At 34.2% G+C, this 21,093-nt stretch overlaps 1 protein-coding gene across 11 annotated transcripts in view; it reads left to right on the top strand.

Annotated features, from left to right (window-relative positions):
* ABCD2 (ATP binding cassette subfamily D member 2) overlaps positions 1-21,093 on the top strand; it is an 88,779-nt gene that overhangs the window by 17,278 nt on the left and 50,408 nt on the right. For 8 of the 11 annotated variants that reach the window (NR_182045.1, XM_017018992.3, NM_001412791.1 and 5 more), the window contains 2 exons: positions 1,810-1,955; positions 16,229-16,374. Coding sequence is in view for 9 of the 11 variants with exons in the window: in XM_017018992.3 (XP_016874481.1) it covers positions 1,810-1,955; positions 16,229-16,374 (292 nt within the window). In the remaining 2 variants the exon portion in view is untranslated. Of the gene's footprint in view, positions 1-1,809; positions 1,956-5,022; positions 11,875-16,201; positions 16,375-21,093 lie in introns of those variants that run through there. The other 3 variants (NR_182046.1, XM_017018993.3, NM_001412792.1) reach the window with 3 other exon arrangements.

Here is a 21,093-nt window from a genome sequence, read left to right as displayed (position 1 = left end):
ATTGAAAAATAAGTTTCTAGAGGAAAGGATCTCATACCTTTGTTAGCCTTCAGGATTAAAAAACCATTTGCAGGCTGGGCGCGGTGGCTCATACCTGTAATCTCAGCCCTTTGAGAGGCTGAGGTGGGCAGATCACCTGAGGTCAGGAGTTCGAGACCAGCCTGGCCAACATGGTGAAACCCTGTCTCTACTAAAAAATACAAAAATTAGCCGGGCATTGTGGTGGGCACCTGTAATCCCAGTTACTCGGGAGTCTGAGGCACAAGAATCGCTTGAACCCAGGAAGCAGAGGTTGTAGTGAGCCAAGATCATGCCACTGCACTCCAACCTGAGACAGAATAAGACTCAGTATAAAAAATAAATAAATAAATAAATAAATAAATAAATAAATAAATAAAATTTTTAAAAAATTAAAAATTATTTGCAGAAGAAAAGTTAGTGTGAGACAAAAAGAATTCTAAGCATCAGAGACCTTTATGCTGAGAAAAATATTAATATTAATGTAGAAAGTCTCCAATTACCCCTCAAAATGTGTTAAATTTCTGAGAATGCCTAATAGAGAATGGCCCTATTGAAATATTTTGCCAATGTGCTTTTCACCATGATATATATGATTTTTTAAAAATCATTTGGAAAATATTTACGCTTCTACAAAATTAAACCCTTAGCCTTTTCTCTAGTGAAAGAGCACAGGCAGATAACAAATTAATTTTTTCTAGCTTCTTCCTGAGATTTTCTTGGTGTGCTAGCAATATAATAATACTCTTTCATCTTTGAGGTCCAGTATGATGTATTCCACATTATTGATACTTGAATATTGGTATCCTTTCTATACAAAGCTAGATCTACAGACATCCTGTAAATTTCTGATATTTATTTTTTGGGTATCACTGATTATAAAATTTCATTTGCTCTTGGTAGAAGTAGATAAAAATTTTAAATGGTGTTTCTGTTGATTGTTGTTCACAATACCCTTTAAATACCATAATAAGACAACTTCTTCATCCTATTGTGTGGAATAGGAACTCATGAAATTAAACAGTTTAAATGTCAATAATAGGATAGAAAATAAAGGGAAGCATCCAATAGATAAGAAATAAATAACCTGTTTTATTTATGAATATTATATATATATATTATTCACATATATGTAATATTCTATGTGTGTATGTATTTTAATTCATCCCTAGACATGAGACTAAAATACAATCCTCTTGCTTTCCTCTATCCTTGGTTTGTTAAACATATTTTCTCTATTTGTGAATAAAGCAGAATTTGAATCATCTTCTCTCTCTGATTATGGGCTTTTGTGATTTTTGTAGCATTTCAGACTGCTGAAGTGTAAAATTAAACAGCCCAGCTGACTCCTTGGATAACTGTGCTTTGTAGCTATTAATTGCAGTTAATTTTCAGTTGTATTTGAATTCAATGTAAATTTAATCCAATATTAATATCAAAATATAATGTAATATATTTTTAGTTAAATTTTTATGATTTGTCTTATTTCCCAGGCAGCTGTTTTTCTCTATGTGTATGTGGTATCTGATAACAAATTACAATTTTGGAAAGCCAGTGCCCATTTCAAGAAGATCCATTTTCTTTGGAATTGAATTATTTTATGATGCTTTTAGCTTCAGAGAATAGTCAAAAGCCAAACTTGTTCTCAACCCTGAAATATTTTTCCTTGATCTTTTGCCCAACCTAGGTTATCATGTTTTCGAACATTTTAAAAAAATAATTTACTTTTAGGTGCTGCCAAAATAAATCATTTTAAACTATTGCAGTTTGTAATTTTATTTCTTACTTTAGGTAGAAGAAGGAATGCATCTTTTGATAACTGGTCCCAATGGTTGTGGGAAAAGTTCTCTCTTCAGAATTCTAAGTGGGCTCTGGCCTGTGTATGAAGGAGTCCTCTATAAACCACCTCCTCAACATATGTTTTATATTCCACAAAGGTAGGTATATCTTTTTATATTACAAGAAACAATTTCCTTTTGCTCTTGAATTGTCTTGATTCCTCAAGTTCCTCAGTTTATATATCTTTAAGAATGTTTTTATTAAGAGAAACTATTAAGGAAATAAAAATTCACTTAGCCCAAAATATTTTATTACTGCTTTGATTGTAATACTCTGTAGGACAATACCACTTTTTTTCATTTTCACATCTGTCTAGATGGAATAAATACTCAAAGACTGCAGATGTTAGTCTCAAGGAATAACAAGCAGGCTGTTTCAGAGAATGATTAGATTGCCTGAGATGTCAGATTATTTCTTCTCACAGAAAAATAATAACACCCGGATAAGTATACAGCTCTCTCCATCAAGCTGCATACATTCATATATTCTAAAATTGTTCATTTATATTTGAGGATCCATAAAATAGACTTTACAATTATGCTATATGATTATTTAGCGATTTGTAACTTTCTTAAGTAAATTTTTTTACTGTAAGAATGAGTATCATGTAAACATAGAAAAAGAACATTATTTCTTCAGAGCTCTTTAGCTATCATCTTCCCTGAGAACAATTAGAAATGTCTAAAATTCAAAGTTATACACTAAGAATTTGTAATATTCATTGTGGATAAGAGAAGATGAAGTTTGAAGAACTTCCTCATGTTAATTGGACCCAGTAATTTTTCCATCTGTCATCATCCTGGATACATAGACATCCCATAGAGCACTCCTACTATGTCAGAGGACTGTTTTGTGGAGTCTAACAAGCGCCTAGGCTGGAAGTATAGTACAAGCACAAACATAAAAGTCACATCAAGTATAGTGCTCTCATATGTCCCTTTTGTCCCTTTGCCTTTGCCTGAATGTACTGTACAATCCTGTCTACTGGCCTAATTTTTAGACCAGACATAGCAGTTAGGCAGATGAGGTTTTGTGGGTTTTTTTCTTTAAAGTAAGACCTATGGTGGTAGTAAGAAGCTGCCTGGAATATAGGAGAATGAAGAACTGCATTGGCTGAAAATGCTGGACATGAGCAATGACATAGATATTTGTGTTTAACACAAAATAGATAACATTTTGTGACACCAAAAGCATTGTCCCTTTCTGTCTATGCTTTCAATTCCTTTGGGAAACATTCTGATTCTGAAAGCTAAATTATACTGCCAAAAGTTTCTGTTTTAGACATTAATGTGTTTAGTAGGTTGATTTTACTTTTTTATTTAGGTTAGAAGGCGTAGAATTATGAAGAAAATTTTCTATTATAGAATTCTATTCTCTTGATGCAAGTAAAATCACATAAATACATTTTATATTTTTAGCTACAGTTGTTGAATATAACTTTGACCAGAACAATGTAAAACATTTCCAGAGAATAAGAAAGTGAAGAAATTCTAGCCTTTGCCTGCAGAGATACTTGACTATGTTACTTTGCAACAAACAAAAATCACTAGGAAACTTTTTCTTAGTTATGAAATTTACTGTTGCTTAAGCAAAAAAACCAACTGCAATCCAGTTAAGGAGAAAAATAACAATGAGAACTCTATTTTTCAGGCTAAAATGTATTTTAATAATTACTGTTAAAAGTCATTTACCTTGATTATATGGCTTTTAGAAACATGAACATTTGGGTATATGTTAGAAGTTTTATAGGACCATTATCCTTGCAAAAACCATAGAATTTATTTAAATCCATATGTAAACTGAGAGTCTAAATGTAGTGTTTCTTACATTCCAAAAGCTATTTTTTCGAGTAAATTTAAAAAATAATCTTACGTTTTTATGATGTAAAAGAAAGCTGCTATGCAACCTATTTCAAAATATTTGTTGGTAGGTAACTGCCTTATGATATTCTCATTAGTAAATATAATCTGGCTGGGTGGGGTGGCTCATGCCTGTAATCCCAGCACTTTGGGAGGCTGAGGCGGGCGAATCGCCTGAGGTCAGGAGTTTGAGACCAGCCTGACCAACATGGAGAAACCCCGTCTCTACTAAGAATACAAAATTAGCCGGGTGTGGTGGTGCGTGCCTGTAATCCCAGCTACTCAAGAGGCTGAGGAAGGAGAATTTCTTGAACCTGGGAGACAGAGGTCGCGGTGAGCTGAGATGGCGCCACTGCACTCCAGCCCGGGCAACAAGAGCAAAACTCCACCTCAAAAAATGTATATATAATCTAATTTATTGTATTAATTCATAATAATCAAATATGTTAACTACTAGCTTAGCAGCAAAAAAATGAAATTTCAATATAGAATTGACACTTATGTATGAAATTCACAAGTCATAAGACAGAGCTTTACAATAATCCCCCTGTATTCACTTTTTGTGATTGAAAGACTTCTGGGTAGAGGATGAATCTCTTTATGGATTGATCAGAATGTACATTAATTGTTACTTGCATGGGAGAAAAATAGAGTATATTTTGTAAAAGTGGATTTATAATGATGTCATGTAGTATACGGAAGAAAGAAGTGAACCACTAAGGAAAAATTATAATTAACTATATTAGGCCATTTATTTTTTTCACCAAATCTTCACGAAGAATGCTGCTATAGCTCAGTTCATAAGCTTGGAAAGCTGAATTCCTAATAAATTATGAAACCACCTCAATGTTTTCCCAGCTAGTGTTATCTAGTACTTTAGCAGTGTTAATAATGAGAACCAGATAAAAGAAAATCTCAGCTTCAGTTCAAGAATACACACACAAAAAAATGTTGGTAGATAAATTAGTTTCATAACAGCTTCCCTTTATCCTATCTTTATTAATGACATATGATCATTAGTGGAGCATCAGATACGTTTTTGGAAAGAAATGTTTCATCAAAATGTAGATTAACCATTCTAAATCTATGGAATGGTGGATGTTAAAATGCTTAGTATTGCTCAGGTAATACTTTAAAACAGTATTCTGGAAATTTTAGGCTGTTTGAGTTTCTGAGCCATGTGAATGTACTCCTTAAGCTGATGATTGAAACTCACTGCTCTCTCCTATATTAGCCATCCTGACCTCAGGAAAAGTCTTTCATTTGGACATAGATCCTGAATTTCTTCTGTCAATTCTTGTTGCAGTTTATCTGTCTTTCCAAGTCCCTAAGGAGAGATTTGTGATCCCCTGCTCTCACTTTCACAAATCCACTAATTTATGGCCTATTTGTTACTTCCTAATCCCCTGGTAAGTTTCTGTCTTCATCCATGAAAGCCCCTAAACCCACCCTTTTACTTGTTTATTTTGTTCACCTGCTAACAAAATTTTATAGTATGCTAACAATCATCAAAATAATAAATTGGAATATTTAGTGGGAGTTGGGGGTAGAGAGAGAGTGGGAGAGAAGCAACAGAGGAAGGGACAGAAGGAAGAAAGACAGATGATAATAGATATTTGCTGACAAAATATATTTTGCTCAGAGTAAAATCTTGCTTTCTTTTGTACTAGTTTTTAAAAATAATACTCCAGAAGATCATTTGCATACATCACATTACAGTTGGGCCTCTGTATCTGCAGCTTCCACAACCTTGGATTCAACCCACCATGAATAAAAAATATTTTTAAAATAAACACTGAAAACAACAACATAACCATAAAAAATCATACAAACAAAAAACCAATGCATAGTATTTGTATTGTGTTAGGTATTACAAGTAATCTAAAGATGATTTAAAGTATATAGGGGGATGTGTGTTGGTGATATGCAAATACTGTGGCCATTTTATATAAAGGCATCTGTGGATTTTGGTGTTTTCTGGGGTCCTGGAACCAGTTCCACCCTGGGCACCAACCCATCATGTAATTCTAACACGTATGCTCTTACTACCTACGCTTCCTTGGCAGAAATATCTTGAAAAAGAAATTTTAATCGTAATTTTCTTACTATTCAAACTTACTATGCAGGCCCAAATACTAAGGCCCACAAGATCTGAAATAGATTCAGGCTTCCCACAATGGTGTACAAAAAGGTAACTTGTATAAACTTCTGCCCACCCATGACTTTGGAGTCTGAGAAACAAAAGGTTCAGAAAGTGAAAGAAGGATTATATATAAGTATAGAATTAAATCTGATCAAATACTTTTTTTAAAGAAAGAAAAAGAAAAAAAGGGAGAAATAGCTGGAGTATTGTGTTTCATGTCAGAGAGATAACAATTTTTTTTTCATTTAGTCTTTTTAGGATAGACAATAATTAGCATATAATCTTATGATGTTTATGTATCATTTAGTTATAAATAAAAACATTCAACTAATGGAAATAAAAACCAGAAATAAGTGCCTCAAGAAAGGCAAGAAATGCTATGGATGTTCAAAATGAGGAAAAAATAGAACAGTGTGTCATTTGACCTGAGTTTTGAAAGTAATTCAGGATTTGAACAGTTGCCATGGATTGCATCAGTTTCTCCAATTTCTAAATAGGTAAGAAATACCACAGATTCAAGTAAGCAGAAGTTTTTGTTTTTTGGACACTTCTGGATAGCATAATGTTCTTTCCTACTCTCCTCTAACACACGATGCTGAGAAAAGAAAGCATTTCTTAGACTCATCCCCACTAATAAGAAGTCATCAGTACATACTGGAAATGATAGTGCTCATCCTCTCAGTCCTTACTCGTTTGCTGCACTGTTTCTTTTAGCTGAAGTTCTTTGATTTAATTTTTTAAGGTTTTTTAGTAATTTGGATGTTTGCCATTTTCCCAGTCTCTAGCTAAGGAGCTCAACCTGCTCTCTATAAGTAAGTGACACAATTTTATGTGCTAAATTACTTCTCAAAAAGCATAATAAAAGATGACGGTAGCTTGCTTCCACAACACTCATTATTTTTTGTTTCCTGTTTTCAGAAGATATTCTGAAATTATGAGTAACATTTTACTTATCAGCTCAATATTTGTTTATTTCTAACTAGTAACTACTACTTCATTCACAGGGTTGTGTGCACAAGTACCATGTTACTTAATCTCCTAGATTAAATATAAATACTACTTGATAAATAAAGTTATGAATCACATTTTAAAATTAAATGCAACATAAAAGTCTTAAATTTGATTGTAAGCAGGAATGGTAAACATCACTAATTAGATTGTACAGGAAATTAAATATAGATAATAACTTTATTTCTATCTTGTTATGCATGAATAATACATATTAATTATGTTCTGTATAAGTTATGCTAAATAGAGTATTTTTAAGTAATTAAATTGAATTTCAAAGGGACTACATACTTTACTTAGCGTTATATGGAATTTCAAAGCCAGAGTTAGACTATACCAAGTCTTTGAATACAAATCTTCTGTACTCACTGCCTCTCATTTTCAGATTAATAAGATTATCACATTTAAGCATCTTAAGATGAAAAAAATCCTACTGTTTTTGATCTTAAATATTTTCTCAGATAATCATAACACAGTCTGTATTACTTTCCCAACTTTCTGAGGAATAACAAAATATCATTCTTTATAATTTGTCTTCACTTTTCAAAAATATCTGTATCTTCAGCTATCTTCTTTTTTCTTTTTCTTTTTTTGAAACAGAGTGTCACTCTGTCACCCAGGCTGGAGTGCAGTGGCACAATCTTGGCTCACTGCAGCCTCTGCCTCCTGGGTTCACCATGGTACCACCATGCACGGCTAATTTTTTATTATTTGTATTGACAGGGTTTTCCTACCTTGCCAGGGCTAATCTTGAACTCCTGGCCTCAAGTGATTATCGCACCTCAGCTTCCCAAGTAACTGGGATTACAGGCGCCCACCACGAAACCCAGAGAATTTTTGTATTTTTAGTAGAGTTGGGGTTTCATCACGTTGGCCAGGCCGGTCTCGAACTCCTGGCCTCAAGTGATCCACCCGCCTTGGCCTCCCAAAGTGCTGGGATTAAACACGTGAGCCACTCTACCTGGCCATTGTATTCTTCAACTGTTTTTCTAAGGAAGAAGAGCTTAAGACATGAAATCTCAGCCTTTACAAGTACTAGTATATTTATGTTTTCTTTGGTATCTTTAATTGATATCTATATTTTCTTTGATGGCATTTCCACTTCTTCCTTTTAATGATATAGTGTGTGTGTTTTAAAAAATTATATGCATTAAAATTGATTTTATCCTGAGAATGTTGTGACCTCTTGAGATAACTGTTGGGTCCTAGGCATCCTGAACCAGGATTGAGCATCTCTAGGGTATTGTTATTTTTTGTAATTAACAATATGTCAAACAATTAGTGTGTGCTAGTCACAATTCTACATATATAAGTTTCTTATTTTTCTGTATGACAACCTATAAAGTTGGTATTAGTATCCCTATTTTGTGAGAAAACTTAAAGAGGTTTAAGTCCTCCAGTGGATAAATGCTGGAGCTAGAATTTGAACTCAGATGTGCCTTACCCTAAAGTCATTTTGCCTTATTGGTATCAACAGGGGCATGTGTATGAAAAATTACTACCCTTTATCCTGACCTTGCAAGTATCACCAGCTAAGGTTGTTTTCTTGGTGTGCTGATCTGTACTAATATCAAGCTGTGGTTTGGAGGCAGAGGTCCTCATAATCCTCGATGTACATGGCAATTAAGTCAATTTTAACATACATTTTAGCATAGGTACTTGGCCATCATTCAGATATGTTAAGGTGAAGGAAGCTATATTCTCATATGAAAGTGAAATTTTAAAAAATTTATTGGTGTTCAATTCATTTTCAAATTAAATTTTATTCTCTACTCTTTCCTATTCTTCTAAAATTCATTTCTCCATAAAATTTTAAAGAATTTTTCAAAAATAGTCCCTTAATTTTAAATCAGAATTCTTGTTGAGATATAAAACAAGCAAACCTTAATTTTCAGGATGCATTATGGCTTAAAAAGATCATGACTTACCCTTTATGTCATCAAAAGAAGAGATTGTCGCTTGCAACAGTGAAGACGGTGTTTTATTTCAGAAGTTCTGCAGAAAGGGCTTGAAGGACGATAATACCAACATTGGCACAACTGCCCTGTGCACTAAGAAGTACTTGCACCAAATAAGCTTTATGGATATTTTAAAATATGAAGTTCTGGGCTGGGCCTGGTGGCTCATGACTGTAATCCCAGCACTTTAGGAGGCTGAGGTTGGATAATCACTTGAGGCCAGGAATTTAAGGTTAGCCCTGGCAACATAGGGGGACCCCGTCAATACAAATAATAAAAAAGTAGCTGGATATGGTGGTACTTGCCTGTAGTCCCAGCTACTTAAGAGGCTGAGGTGGGAGGGCTGCTTGAGTCTGGGAAGTTGAGGCTGCAGTGAGCCATGATTGCACCACTGCACTCTGGCCTGGGCAACAGAGTGAGATGCTATCTCAAAAGAATAAAAATAAAAATAAAACAAAAAAATAAAAGCTGTGAAGTTCCATTTTCTATTGTTTCTATATGAATGACTTCCAAATCTAAGATTTCTTCTTTGTAGGGATCAGGGAACTCTGTGTTATATATCAACATTGTTTAACCCACACATATAAAACCAGATGATGGCTATTAACTAGAAAGCATATGAGATCAGGTCAGAAGAACTGATTTGCCTCTTTTCTCTATGGAGGACAGAAAGGGTGCTGTTAAAGTATTCTCAGTGAGATCCTTGCTTTTTTTCTTTTTATCCAAGATCTCAGATTTTAAAAATGAGGATGTGGTCTGGAAAAGGATCTAAGCAAGAATCTGGGGTATGCTGTTTTAAATATCTTAATCTCAATTTTCCTATAGGTCTCTAGCTTTTGGACCTGTCAATTCTTAATGAATATCTAGCTGCCAAAAGGCAAACAGGGTGCACCTCTTGAGGACAAGGAGTGTGTTTATTTAAGAAAGAGGCAGACTAGCAGGCCACTGCCTGAGTGGAATATGGGTCTATAAAAGCCACTGGAATAAAGGAGGAATGTGATGTGGCTTAATCCAGAGCTCCTCACAGAACTCTATACCTATGTACTGTGCCAATGTGTATGTAGGTTACATATCTATTGTCCTGCTGCCCTCAAAGCAAAGAAATATGGCTTTGGGAGTAGGGGTTGTACTGGAACAGACTTTGCCCTTGTTGAGTCACTGTTGAACAAACTTTTATAGATTAAAAGCTAGAAAAGGCAACCACATGTCTCTGTACAGCACTGGTAGGATCCTAGTAAATATATTGTAATTGTGCAATAAATATCTGATAAGTGATTGACTGAATGAATGAACATCTCCACAGATTTGGTTTCTACTGCCAAGTCAATCTGGTACCTTACACTAATTATGAGCAATCTATTTATTTTGCTGCTTGCAGTAGGTATGTTGCAAAATTCTCTTTATGATGGGGATAAATATCTGTCATTTAACATGTCCTTTTTTAGAAAATTATTTTAACCACAAGGAAGGCTTAGTAGCATTGCTGTAGCAAATTGACTTCTATTCCTTGCTTTCTGACTGTTAGACTTACAGCCAAGTAATCTTTGTATAAATACCTTTGGGCAGTCAGTTGACAGAAATAGAAGTTGTACATTTTAGTTCCTCCTGTGTAGTAGTTGGTACAGTTCAGTTTTTTTAAATCTCTTTTAAAGAGATCTATAAATGTAAACACAATTTTCTATAGCTTTCTATGGCTTGGAAGAATGCTAAAGATACTTTTTAAAATCTTTAACTTTTCTAAGGGCTCATTTATAAAAGTAATAATGAAAAAACTCCCCTCTCACTCAAAAGTTTTTCTCATTTTATGAGTACTATTACATTAAACCATATGGAACTGCAATTTTTATAGGTCAAATATCAGCAATTTAAATGGTAATCTGATATAATGATAAATACTCTTAAAGTTGACTTTTACAGAAATTTGCATTTTTAACAGCTTAGCAATACTTTAATTCTTCCACTAATAATATATTTATTTATTTACTTATTGAGACAGTGTCTCACTCTATTGCCCAGGCTGGAGTTCAGTGACACAATCTTGGCTCACTGCAACCTCTGTCTCCAGGGTTCAAGAGATTCTTGTGCCTCAGCCTCCCAAGTAGCTGGGATTACAGGTGTGTGCCACCACACCTGGCTAATTTTTGCATTTTTAGTAGAGATGGGGTTTCACCATGTTGAGCAGGCTGGTCTCAAACTTCTGACCTCAGGTGATTCACCCAGCTTGGCCTCCCAAATTACGGGGATTACAGATGCGAGCCACTGCACCTGGCCTAATATTATTTTTATTACTTGGAAATAAACCTCATCCCTGCTCTTAAGAGGCTATTCTCATCTCTGTTTTGGAATCTAGAAATATCTTATCCAAAAGATATAATTTCAGTAATAGTAAATATCTATTTTCACTTGAATATTTCTTCTTATTATCACACATTTTTTAAGAATACTATAAATGACTCAAATCTAGTTCTTTCTATGCATGAAAAACCCTGATGCAATGATTGGTTCCAGCATGTATAGTTATGTGAATTATTGATAGTTAAATTTTATGCCTTTCAGATTGTTAACTTCTTTTGCTACGACAACACAGCAGTACTTAGTGGTACATTATTCTTAAACTTAACACATCTCATGCCTTAAATACAGTTAACATTGCTGCAAAATTTTTATCAATATTGTTCCAATTAAATTTTATATGATTACTTTAAAAATTTGTTTTCTCTGCATATAGGCCTTTCATGTCACACTTTTTTTTCTCCTCTGGATTTGAATTGGTTTTTTGCTCTCAATTTAGGAAATATTTAGAATTTTGTGTCATTCAGAAGCTCCAAGCACATAGATACAGCTAACACTTCTCAGTGCTTTCCCATTCTTTCTAGCTTTGTCTTAGAGAATAATAAAAAAGTAACTCTAACAAACATCAATACATTTTACCAAAAAAAAAAAATCACTGTCAGATTACTTAGATGTTAATGCAGAAAAGTGGGAATATAATGCAAAGTATAAAAGCACCTTGAGACATTAGTAACAAAACTATAAAAAGCCATAATCATGGGGAATGAATTTTATCTCAAATAATTTTACTATTATAATTGAATTTTAACTATATATACATTTGAAAGAATTGTAGATTCCCAAGAAAAAACAATTATTATAATTATTATAATTGTTTAAATAAGGATTATTTGTTAAATGATCCACATGTGACACCTATGGATTTATTTTGCTATCTTTTCCATAACATATAGAGATGATTCTGGGTTTTACTTATAGAAAGTAAATTAAAACTAGTTAATATTTCTTTTTTGATAGCTACTAATGAGGAGCAATCTGACCATTTCTTTTGTTGCTTATGTTAGATATGTTGCATGATCTCCTTTGTAATGAGCCAGAGCAAGTGAGCCAGTAACATTCTAACATGGTAATTGATCTACCTGAAATATTTAGAAGATTATCTGAATAGGTCTATATATCTAGAAAGGAAAGTTTAGTAAAGGGTACTTTGAGTGCTTATCTATTATGTATAACTTTGGTAGGACTACAGAAACTTGAACTGACTCAAAATGTTAAATTCCAGAACTTTGAGCTGGAAAGAGAATCACATGCAAACTAATTATATAAACATTGGCTATAGGGTCCTCCGTTTCCTTGTGCTTTCAAATTGAGTAAATGTCATCCCGAATTTTCTTGACACAGTCTTTCCAGAGAATTCAGTGGTGGCTTTAACATTATAATAATATTTTAAAATCATTATTTTAATAAAAACCTAAGCGGCTTTAGTTGCTATGTACATCAAACATATATAGAATGTATTATTTTTACCATTTCACATGATCATAAAACAATAATTGACAAAAAATTGAACTTTAATAAAACAATATTTGATTAGTCCTCAATAAATATATAAGCTTATGAATACTTTTATACATATTCATCAACATTCTCATTCACATCAGTTTTCAAAGTGAGCAATTTTTATACATCGTTACATCATTTAAATAACAATAGCTCAGATAGGGCTGGGTGCGGTGGCTCACACCTGTAATCCCAGCACTTTGGGAGGCCGAGGTGGGCGGAACACGAGGTCAGGAGATCAAGACCATCCTGGCTAACACGGTAAAACCCCGTCTCTACTAAAAATACAAAAAATTAGCCAGGCGTGGTGACAGACGCCTGTAGTCCCAGCTACTTGGGAGGCTGACAAGAGAACAGCGAGAACCCGGGAGGCGGAGCTTGCAGTGAGCCACCGAGATGGCGCCACTGCACTCCAGCCTGGGCGACAAAGCGAGACTCCGTCTCAAAAAAAAAAAAAAAAAAAACCCAGACCAAAGCTTCCTTATATTTGTAATAATTTCATTGCAAAGTCTTCTTATATGAACATACACATGTACAAGTAAAATATAAACATTTTGAATTCAAATAATAATTAAATATATTATAAAATAAGCTTGTGCTGTCTATCCTTCAACCTAATGGCTTGTGTACCATGGGAAAATAGGTAGATAATTCATCCACAAAACACATTTTGTATTTGAAAACCTCTCCTTCTCTTTCTTTCTCTCTCCAGGCATACACACACAATATACACCTTGTATTTTTTAATCAAGTTGCAGTAATCATACACCTTTACCCCTAATTAATTTAGGGTATATTTTCAAAGAACAGGGATATTCTCTTAGGTAACTACAGTATACTTATCAAATTCAGGAAATCTGACATTTATATATTAGTATCTAAAATACAGTCCATATTTAAATTTCAGCAATTGTCATAACACTGTACTTTATAGAGCAACTTGTTTTTCCCAATCCATTGTCATGCACTGCACTTAGTTGCCATGTCTATTTATTATAGTTTCTTTTATTCGAAAGAGTTTCTCAGCATTTCTTTATTTTATATGACATTGATATTTTTAAAGAATGCCAGACTATTGCTTTTTTTTTTTAAGAGAACACCTCAATTTGGGTTTGTCTGATAGTTTCTCCGTGATGTGATTCAGGTTATAAACTTTTTACAGAAATACTACTTGTATTAGTTTCTAAGGGCTACAAATTACCAAACACTTGGCGGTTTGAACAACAGAAATTTATTTTCTCGCATTCCTGAACACCCGAAGTCAAAGTATTGGCAATCCACGCCCTCTGAAGGCTCTTGGGGAGAATTATTTCCTGCCTCTTTTCCAGCTTCTGGTGGTGCCAAGCATTCCTTCGTTTGTGGCGGCAGTAACTCCCATCTCTGTCTCCTTCTTCACGTGGCTTTCTTTTCTTTCCTGTGTTTCTTCTCATTTGATAAGAGCATTTATTGGATTTAGGACTCATCTGGTTAATCCAGGATGATCTCGTCTCAAGAACCTTAATTAAATCTGCAAAGACTCTGTTCCTAAATAAGGTTTCATTTACAGATATGGGGGGGTCTGGATTAAGATGGATCTTTTTGGGTCCACAATTGAATTTATTGCATTACTGAAATGATGCTGTGTGCTTCTCAAAGGATAATATTAGACTGTTCCAGATGTAGATAGGGCTAGAAATTTTTTTATTAAAAAACATAAATTCATACTGATACTCAAATTAAAATTAGTTTTTCTCTTGCCTTCCCACACAGCATGTTTGTATCTTTCTTCTTCCACAGTGAGAACCCTTGCTCCTAACATTACCAAACCATTTACTTACGTAACCAATCCTACAATATACATAAAATAGTTTCAGAATTGCTACCCCTATATCATTAGCAAAAATAAACTTGCAAGTAAAGTTTAAAATTTCCGCCTGATTCTTTCTGTCTTTGACTGAAATTATATAGCCAAGTTCAAAAATTACATGGATTAATTCATCCCCACCTCCATCCCCTTCGCTGTGTGGTTACTTTATCCTTTGGACATACTGTTCAGTTAAATTGTTTCTATTTGTATTCAATTTTAAGGTTTCTTCCTTCGTTCTTGTTGGTTTAATTTTATTTATTTATTGAATAGTAACACTTTGAGGGATTCCAAAAGTAAAAACTTTATTAATAGAAAGGATACGTAGGCCTTTTCCTGCCTATCCATTCCACCTTGTTCCTCCCACCTCCTGTAGCTAACCAACTTCACTAGTTTCAGGTTTACTCTTCCTGTGTTTCCTTTTTTAAATATAAATGGGTATGTCTATATTTCATTTTGCTTTCTTTTTACATAGAAGTGGTTCTCAACCGGGAAGATTTTGTCCCCCAGGGACATTTGGCATTATCTGGAGACAATTATTTTTGTTCACTACAGGAAGGGGTGCTGCTGACATCTAGTGGGTAGACATCAGGCATAATGCTAAACATCCTACTGTACACAGGGTAGCCCTCGACAATAAAGAATTATCTGGTTCAATAAGCCAAAGTGCCGTTGTTGAGAAACCCTGCTGTAAGTCTACTTTTGCATTTTGCTTTTCAACTTAACAATATATCATGGAAATCACTCTATATCAGTTTATAGAGGTCTTCCTCATCCTTTTATTACAGCTGCTTAGCGGATGTACTATAGTTTATTCTGTCTGTCTTCTTTGTATGGGTATTTATGTTGTATTTCAGTATTTTGCTATTACAAATAAGCTGTAATGAATAACCTCATGCATCTTTTTTTGTATTTTTAGAAGTATATTTTCAGAGTGAATTCCCAGAAGGAGGTCAAAGGGCAACAAATGCTCTGTCAGTTTGCCAAATCCCCTCTGTAAGAGTTGTACCATTCTGCATTTTCACTGTAGTGTGAGAACATTCCCTTACCCATAGGCCTGCCAGTGGAGTGAGTTACCAAGTTGTTGAATTTTTGCCAATCTGATTAGTAAGAAACTCAATGTAGTTTTAATTTGTGTTTTTCTTACTATGAATTAAATTTTTTTGTTTTGTTTGTTCACATTGCTGGGTCGAAACCCAAATTGTATAATATGTCACCCAAATAATTATAGATGAATTACAGAAGCAATCTTTATCAAATACAGTGAAACAAAGTATATACAATATTTCCCTGCTGAAAATGTTAAATGTGGCTGGGTTCTATGGCTCACAACTGTAATCCCAGTGCTTTGGGAGGCCAAGTTAGGAGGAATCACTTGAGGCAGGTGTTTGAGACTAGCCTGGGAAAACATATCAAGACCCTGTCTCTACAAAATATAAAATAAAATAGAATTTTTTAGAAAAAGAAAATGTCAGATGATTTCTTGGAGAAGCTTTTCTTGTGTCCATGTGTCAGTAAGTTTTTATGTAAACATAACGGTATTGTTTAGCAGTGCCTGAGGGAGAAGTACTCATCGCCAGGTAACAAATATCATCCTGGAAATGTAGTGTTTAAAGTCTTCACTGATGTTTTCAGACTACCAAGTTGTCACACTGAGTAAGTTATCATGACTTTCCACTAGGATTCTTGTGTGCTTGGTGTTTTAAAGGCCATATATGTCTCTTGGAAGTCTTCGGGATCAAGTCATTTACCCTGATTCAGTGGATGATATGCATGATAAAGGTTATACAGACCAAGATCTGGAACGTATCCTACACAATGTCCATCTCTATCACATAGTTCAAAGAGAAGGAGGTAAAGTCTATCATTCTTTTCTAATGCATTTAACTTCACTTTTAAAAAGTAAGCTTGGGTATATATTTAGTCTGTGGTTTAATTTGAATGTATGCTATAATCGGAAATAAGCACATAAGTGTAAAGATGGAGTTTTATTGCTGTTCCATTATTTACATTTCTTTTTCTGCTTGTGTTGTGTTTAATGCAACACACTAAGTTTTTATTAAGTCTCCATGTCAGTGCAGCTAACATTTAAAAACAGTTTTTTTCTTTTATATTCGAATGTACAAAGTCCCTGAGGCCATTGTCAGTCTAGATGTATGTAAAGTCTATGACAGACATATTTGCCTTACAAGCTCTCAGCTCACATTAAATTAAATAATTTGAGAAGTAGATACCACAGAACTTTTTTTGTTTTCAGACCCACAATCTGACCAGTATCTTTTTTTGCTCTCAAGCAGCACACAGGTAATTAAAGTTAGAAACTTCTGTATTGTGGTTTTTCAGCATAAAACATTTTTGAAAGAGTATAAATAACATTTGTACATATAAGCTTAAAATAGAATTATTGTCTAATAATACTCTTTCTGTGTTTAGTGATACTTTCAAATAATTTAATAATAATAATCACACTTTAACTAGATAAGCCAGGCAAGAGAAAGAAATAAAGGGCATTCACATAGGAAGAGAGGAAGTCAAACTATCCCTGCTTGCAGACACATGATTCTATATCTAGAAAACCCCATAGTCTCAGCTCAAAGCTCCTTCAGCTGATAAACAACTTCAGCAAAGTTGCAGTGTACAAAATCAACATACAAAAATCACTAACTTTGCTATACACCAACAACAGCCAAGCGAACAGCCAAATCAGGAAGGCAATCCCCTTCACAATTGCCACAAAAAGAATGAAATACCTAGGAATACAGCTAACCAGGAAGGTGAAAGATCTCTACAATGGGAATTACAAAACACTGCTCAAAGAAATCAGAGAAGACACAAATGGAAAACCATCCCATGTTCATGGATAGGAAGAATCAATATCATTAAAATGGCTATGTTGCCCAAAGCAATTTACATATTCAATGCTATTCCTATCAAACTACCAATGACATTCTTCACAGAACTAGGAAAAAAACTATTTTAAAATTTGTTTGGAACCAAGAAAGAGCCTGAATAGCCAAGGTAATCCTAAGCAAAAGGAACAAAGCTGGAGGCATCATGCTGCCCCACTTCAAACTATACTACAAGTCTACAGTAACCAAAACAGCATAGTGCTGTTACAAAAACAGGCACAGAGACCAATGAAACAGAATGGAGAGCACAGAAATAAGGCCGCACATCTACAACCATCTAATCTTCAACAAAGCTGACAAAAACAAGCAATGGGGAAAAGACTCCCTATTCAATAAATGGTGCTGTGATAACTGGCTGGCCATATGCAGAAGACTGAAGCTGGACCCCTTCTTTATACCATATACAAAAATCAACACAAGATGGATTAGAGACTTAAATGTAAAACCCCAAACTATAAAAACCCTGGAAGACAACCTAGGCAAAACTATCCTGGACATGGAAACAGACAAAGACTTCATGACAAAGATACCAAAAGCAATCACAATGAAAGCAAAAATTGACAAGTGAGATCTAATTAAATTTAAGAGCTTCTGCACAGCAAAAGAAACTATCAACAGAGTAAACAGACAACCTACACAATGGGAGAAAGTATTTGCAAATTATGCATCTGACAAAAGTCTAATATCTAGCATCTATAAGGTACTTAAACAAATTTACAAGGGAAAAACAAACAACACCATTACAAAGTGGGAAAAGGACATGAACAGACACTTCTCAAAAGAAGACATACATGCAGCCAACAAGCATATGAAAAAAGCTCAATATCACTGATCACTAGAGAAATGCACATCAAAACCACAATGAGGTACCATCTCACACCAGTCAAAATGACTATTAATAAAAAGTCAAAAAATAACAAGATGTTGAGAAGGTTGTGGGAAAAAGAGAACACTTATACACTGTTGGTGGGAGTGTAAATCAGTTCAACCACAGTGTGGCAATTCCTCAAAGAGCTAAAAACAGAACTACCATTTCACCCAACAATCTCATTACTGGGTTTATACTCAGAGGAATATAAAATCATCTACCACAAAGACATATGCACACAAATGTTCATCACAGCACTATACACAATAGCAAAAACATGGAATCAATGTAAATGCCCATCAATGACAGATTAGATAAAGAAAGTGTGGTAGAGGTCCACCATGGAATATTATGCAGCTAGAAAAAAAGAATGAGATCATATATTTTGTGGGAACATGAATGGAGCTGGAGGCAATCATCCTTAGCAAACTAATGCAGGAACAGAAAACCATATACTTACTGTATGTTCTCACTTTTAAATAGGGCTAAATGATAAGAACTTACAAGCACAAAGAAGAAAACAACAGAGACTCAGGTCTACTTGAGGATTGGAGGGTAGGAGGAGGGAGAGGAGCAGAAAAGAAAATTATTGGGTACTGGGCTTAATACCTGGATGATGAAATAATATGTACAACAAATCCCCATGAAACGTGTTTACCTATGTAAGAAAACTTCACATGTGCCCCCAAGCCTGAAAGTTAAAAAATAAAATAAAATAAAACAAAAAATTATATTCACACTTTCAAATAATTCAATAATTCATATAATTTGATAGTTTAGAAAAATGACTGAAATAACAAATGAGACACCAAGTTTAATTTTAAATGTATTTTATGTTCTATTTTACAGCCCACTTACATTATTAGAAGTAGAGTAAGTAGTACAGTGATTGAGAATATGGACTTTTAACTCAGAGTTCTGGAATTAAATCTTGATTAGCCCTGTTCTCTGTATCTTCAACTGTAAAATGAGGATAAATATCTACCTTATAAGTTTTTTGTGAAGATTAAATAAGACTGTATGTAAAACATTAGCACAGTGGCATATGAGTACACAAGAATTAGTAGCTGGCCCCGTCCGGCAGCTCACACCTGTAATCCCAGCACTTTGGGAGGCCGAGGAGGGTAAATAGCTTGAATCTAGGAGGTTGAAACCAGCCTGGGCAACATGGTGAAACCACTTCCCTACAAAACATACAAAAATTATCCGGGAATGGTGGCACACCCCTGTAGTCTCAGCTATTTGGGAGGCTGAGGTGGGAGAATCACCTGAGCCCGCAAAGTCAAGGTTGGAGTGAGCTGTGATTGCATCACTGCACTCCAGCCTAGGCAACAAGAGTGAGACCCTGTCTAAAAAAAAAAAAAAAAATTAGTAGCTAATGGTAATATTAGTAGTTGTAATATTGATACTGTACTTTGTCTTTGTGTGATAATGCTTGAAGTTTTATATAACAATATCACATACATTATTTCATTTGATCCTTACAATAAACAAATAAGGCAGGCAAGAAAAATACTTTTATTTTTTGGTATTTGTAATTCCTACTATATATGGAAAGCAGATTGATTTTTTGTTTCATGTGGTCAACTCCTTGGAGTTTCAGAAGGCTGTGGTAGAATAAATGCTACATGTTTATCTTGGGCAAGTTATTTTGAGGACGTTTGAAATCTAATGATCCAAATAGAAATTTAGAATAAACATGAAATATTCTATTCTTTTGGAAGTCATCAGGAAGGTCTAGAACTCTTTCCAAGAATTTTCCAAACTTAAAAATGTAATCGTAATTGTTATGGGCTATTGAGTGCTTACTATGTGGAATTTACATATATCATTATTTAATATCCATAATAGTCCAATGATGTAGGTTTTACTATCTTCATCTTAAAGATTAATTTCAGAAATTTAGTAACTTACTCAGAGTCCCATGGCAAGTTGTGGGACAGGGATTCAAGCACAGTTCTGACTTGAAAGTCAGTGTTCTATGCGAGGGTATGCCACTATACTATGGTAACTCCTGGCTTTTTAAACAATAATAAAAACTATTATATCCTTGCACATAAAAAAAAACTTCAGGGAAACCTGTTTTACTTGCTTAATTCTTAAACCTGAAATATTTAAGCAAGGCAGGAAAACACTTAAATTTGCAAGTGCATTATTTAATTTGAAAGAAGCCTACTGAAGTTCTGTTTAGACTAGCTAATCCTTTGGTTGGTATAATAAAAATGGAATTAAAAACTACATTCCATTCCATCAACTAGGTTACAAAACAGGAAAGCATAAAAGGGTTAACAAATGGACACGAACTAAAGAAGAGTATACATCTCTAGGAAGCAGGAAAATCATTCTCTTCTTTGCTGACTTTGTCTCACTAAATCAGGGTCAGAGGCAACATTATGACTCAGAGTTTTGATTTATGTGTTCCGTGATCATGCAATATTGCCTGCCTACAAAAACCTTTGGGTTTAGTAGAACAAAGAACGTGATTTATTAAAATATGTAAAAGTTAAAGTGTCCTTTGACCCAAATACTTTTCTCTTGTGCCATGTTTTCAGGGGGCAGGGGAAAAAAAAGTTAAGCCCAGAATATTTCTCCACTGCATAGTAATCCAAGTCTATTTCTCAAATCATCACTTACATTTCATAAATACTATGAAATTCAATCACAGGGAAAGTTTTATTTCAACAGTTTTCCCTAGAAGCAAGAACTCTAAATCAGATGGTATTTTAAGATTATTTTTCCTAACATAAAATTTTAAGGATTTGTCTATTTCCTATGTGTATTTTCTTACTTAAAAAA

Source organism: Homo sapiens, chromosome 12 (assembly GCF_000001405.40).
Source record: "Homo sapiens chromosome 12, GRCh38.p14 Primary Assembly".
Taxonomy (NCBI): Eukaryota; Metazoa; Chordata; class Mammalia; order Primates; family Hominidae; genus Homo; species Homo sapiens.
This window is presented reverse-complemented; position numbering and strand designations above follow the sequence as displayed.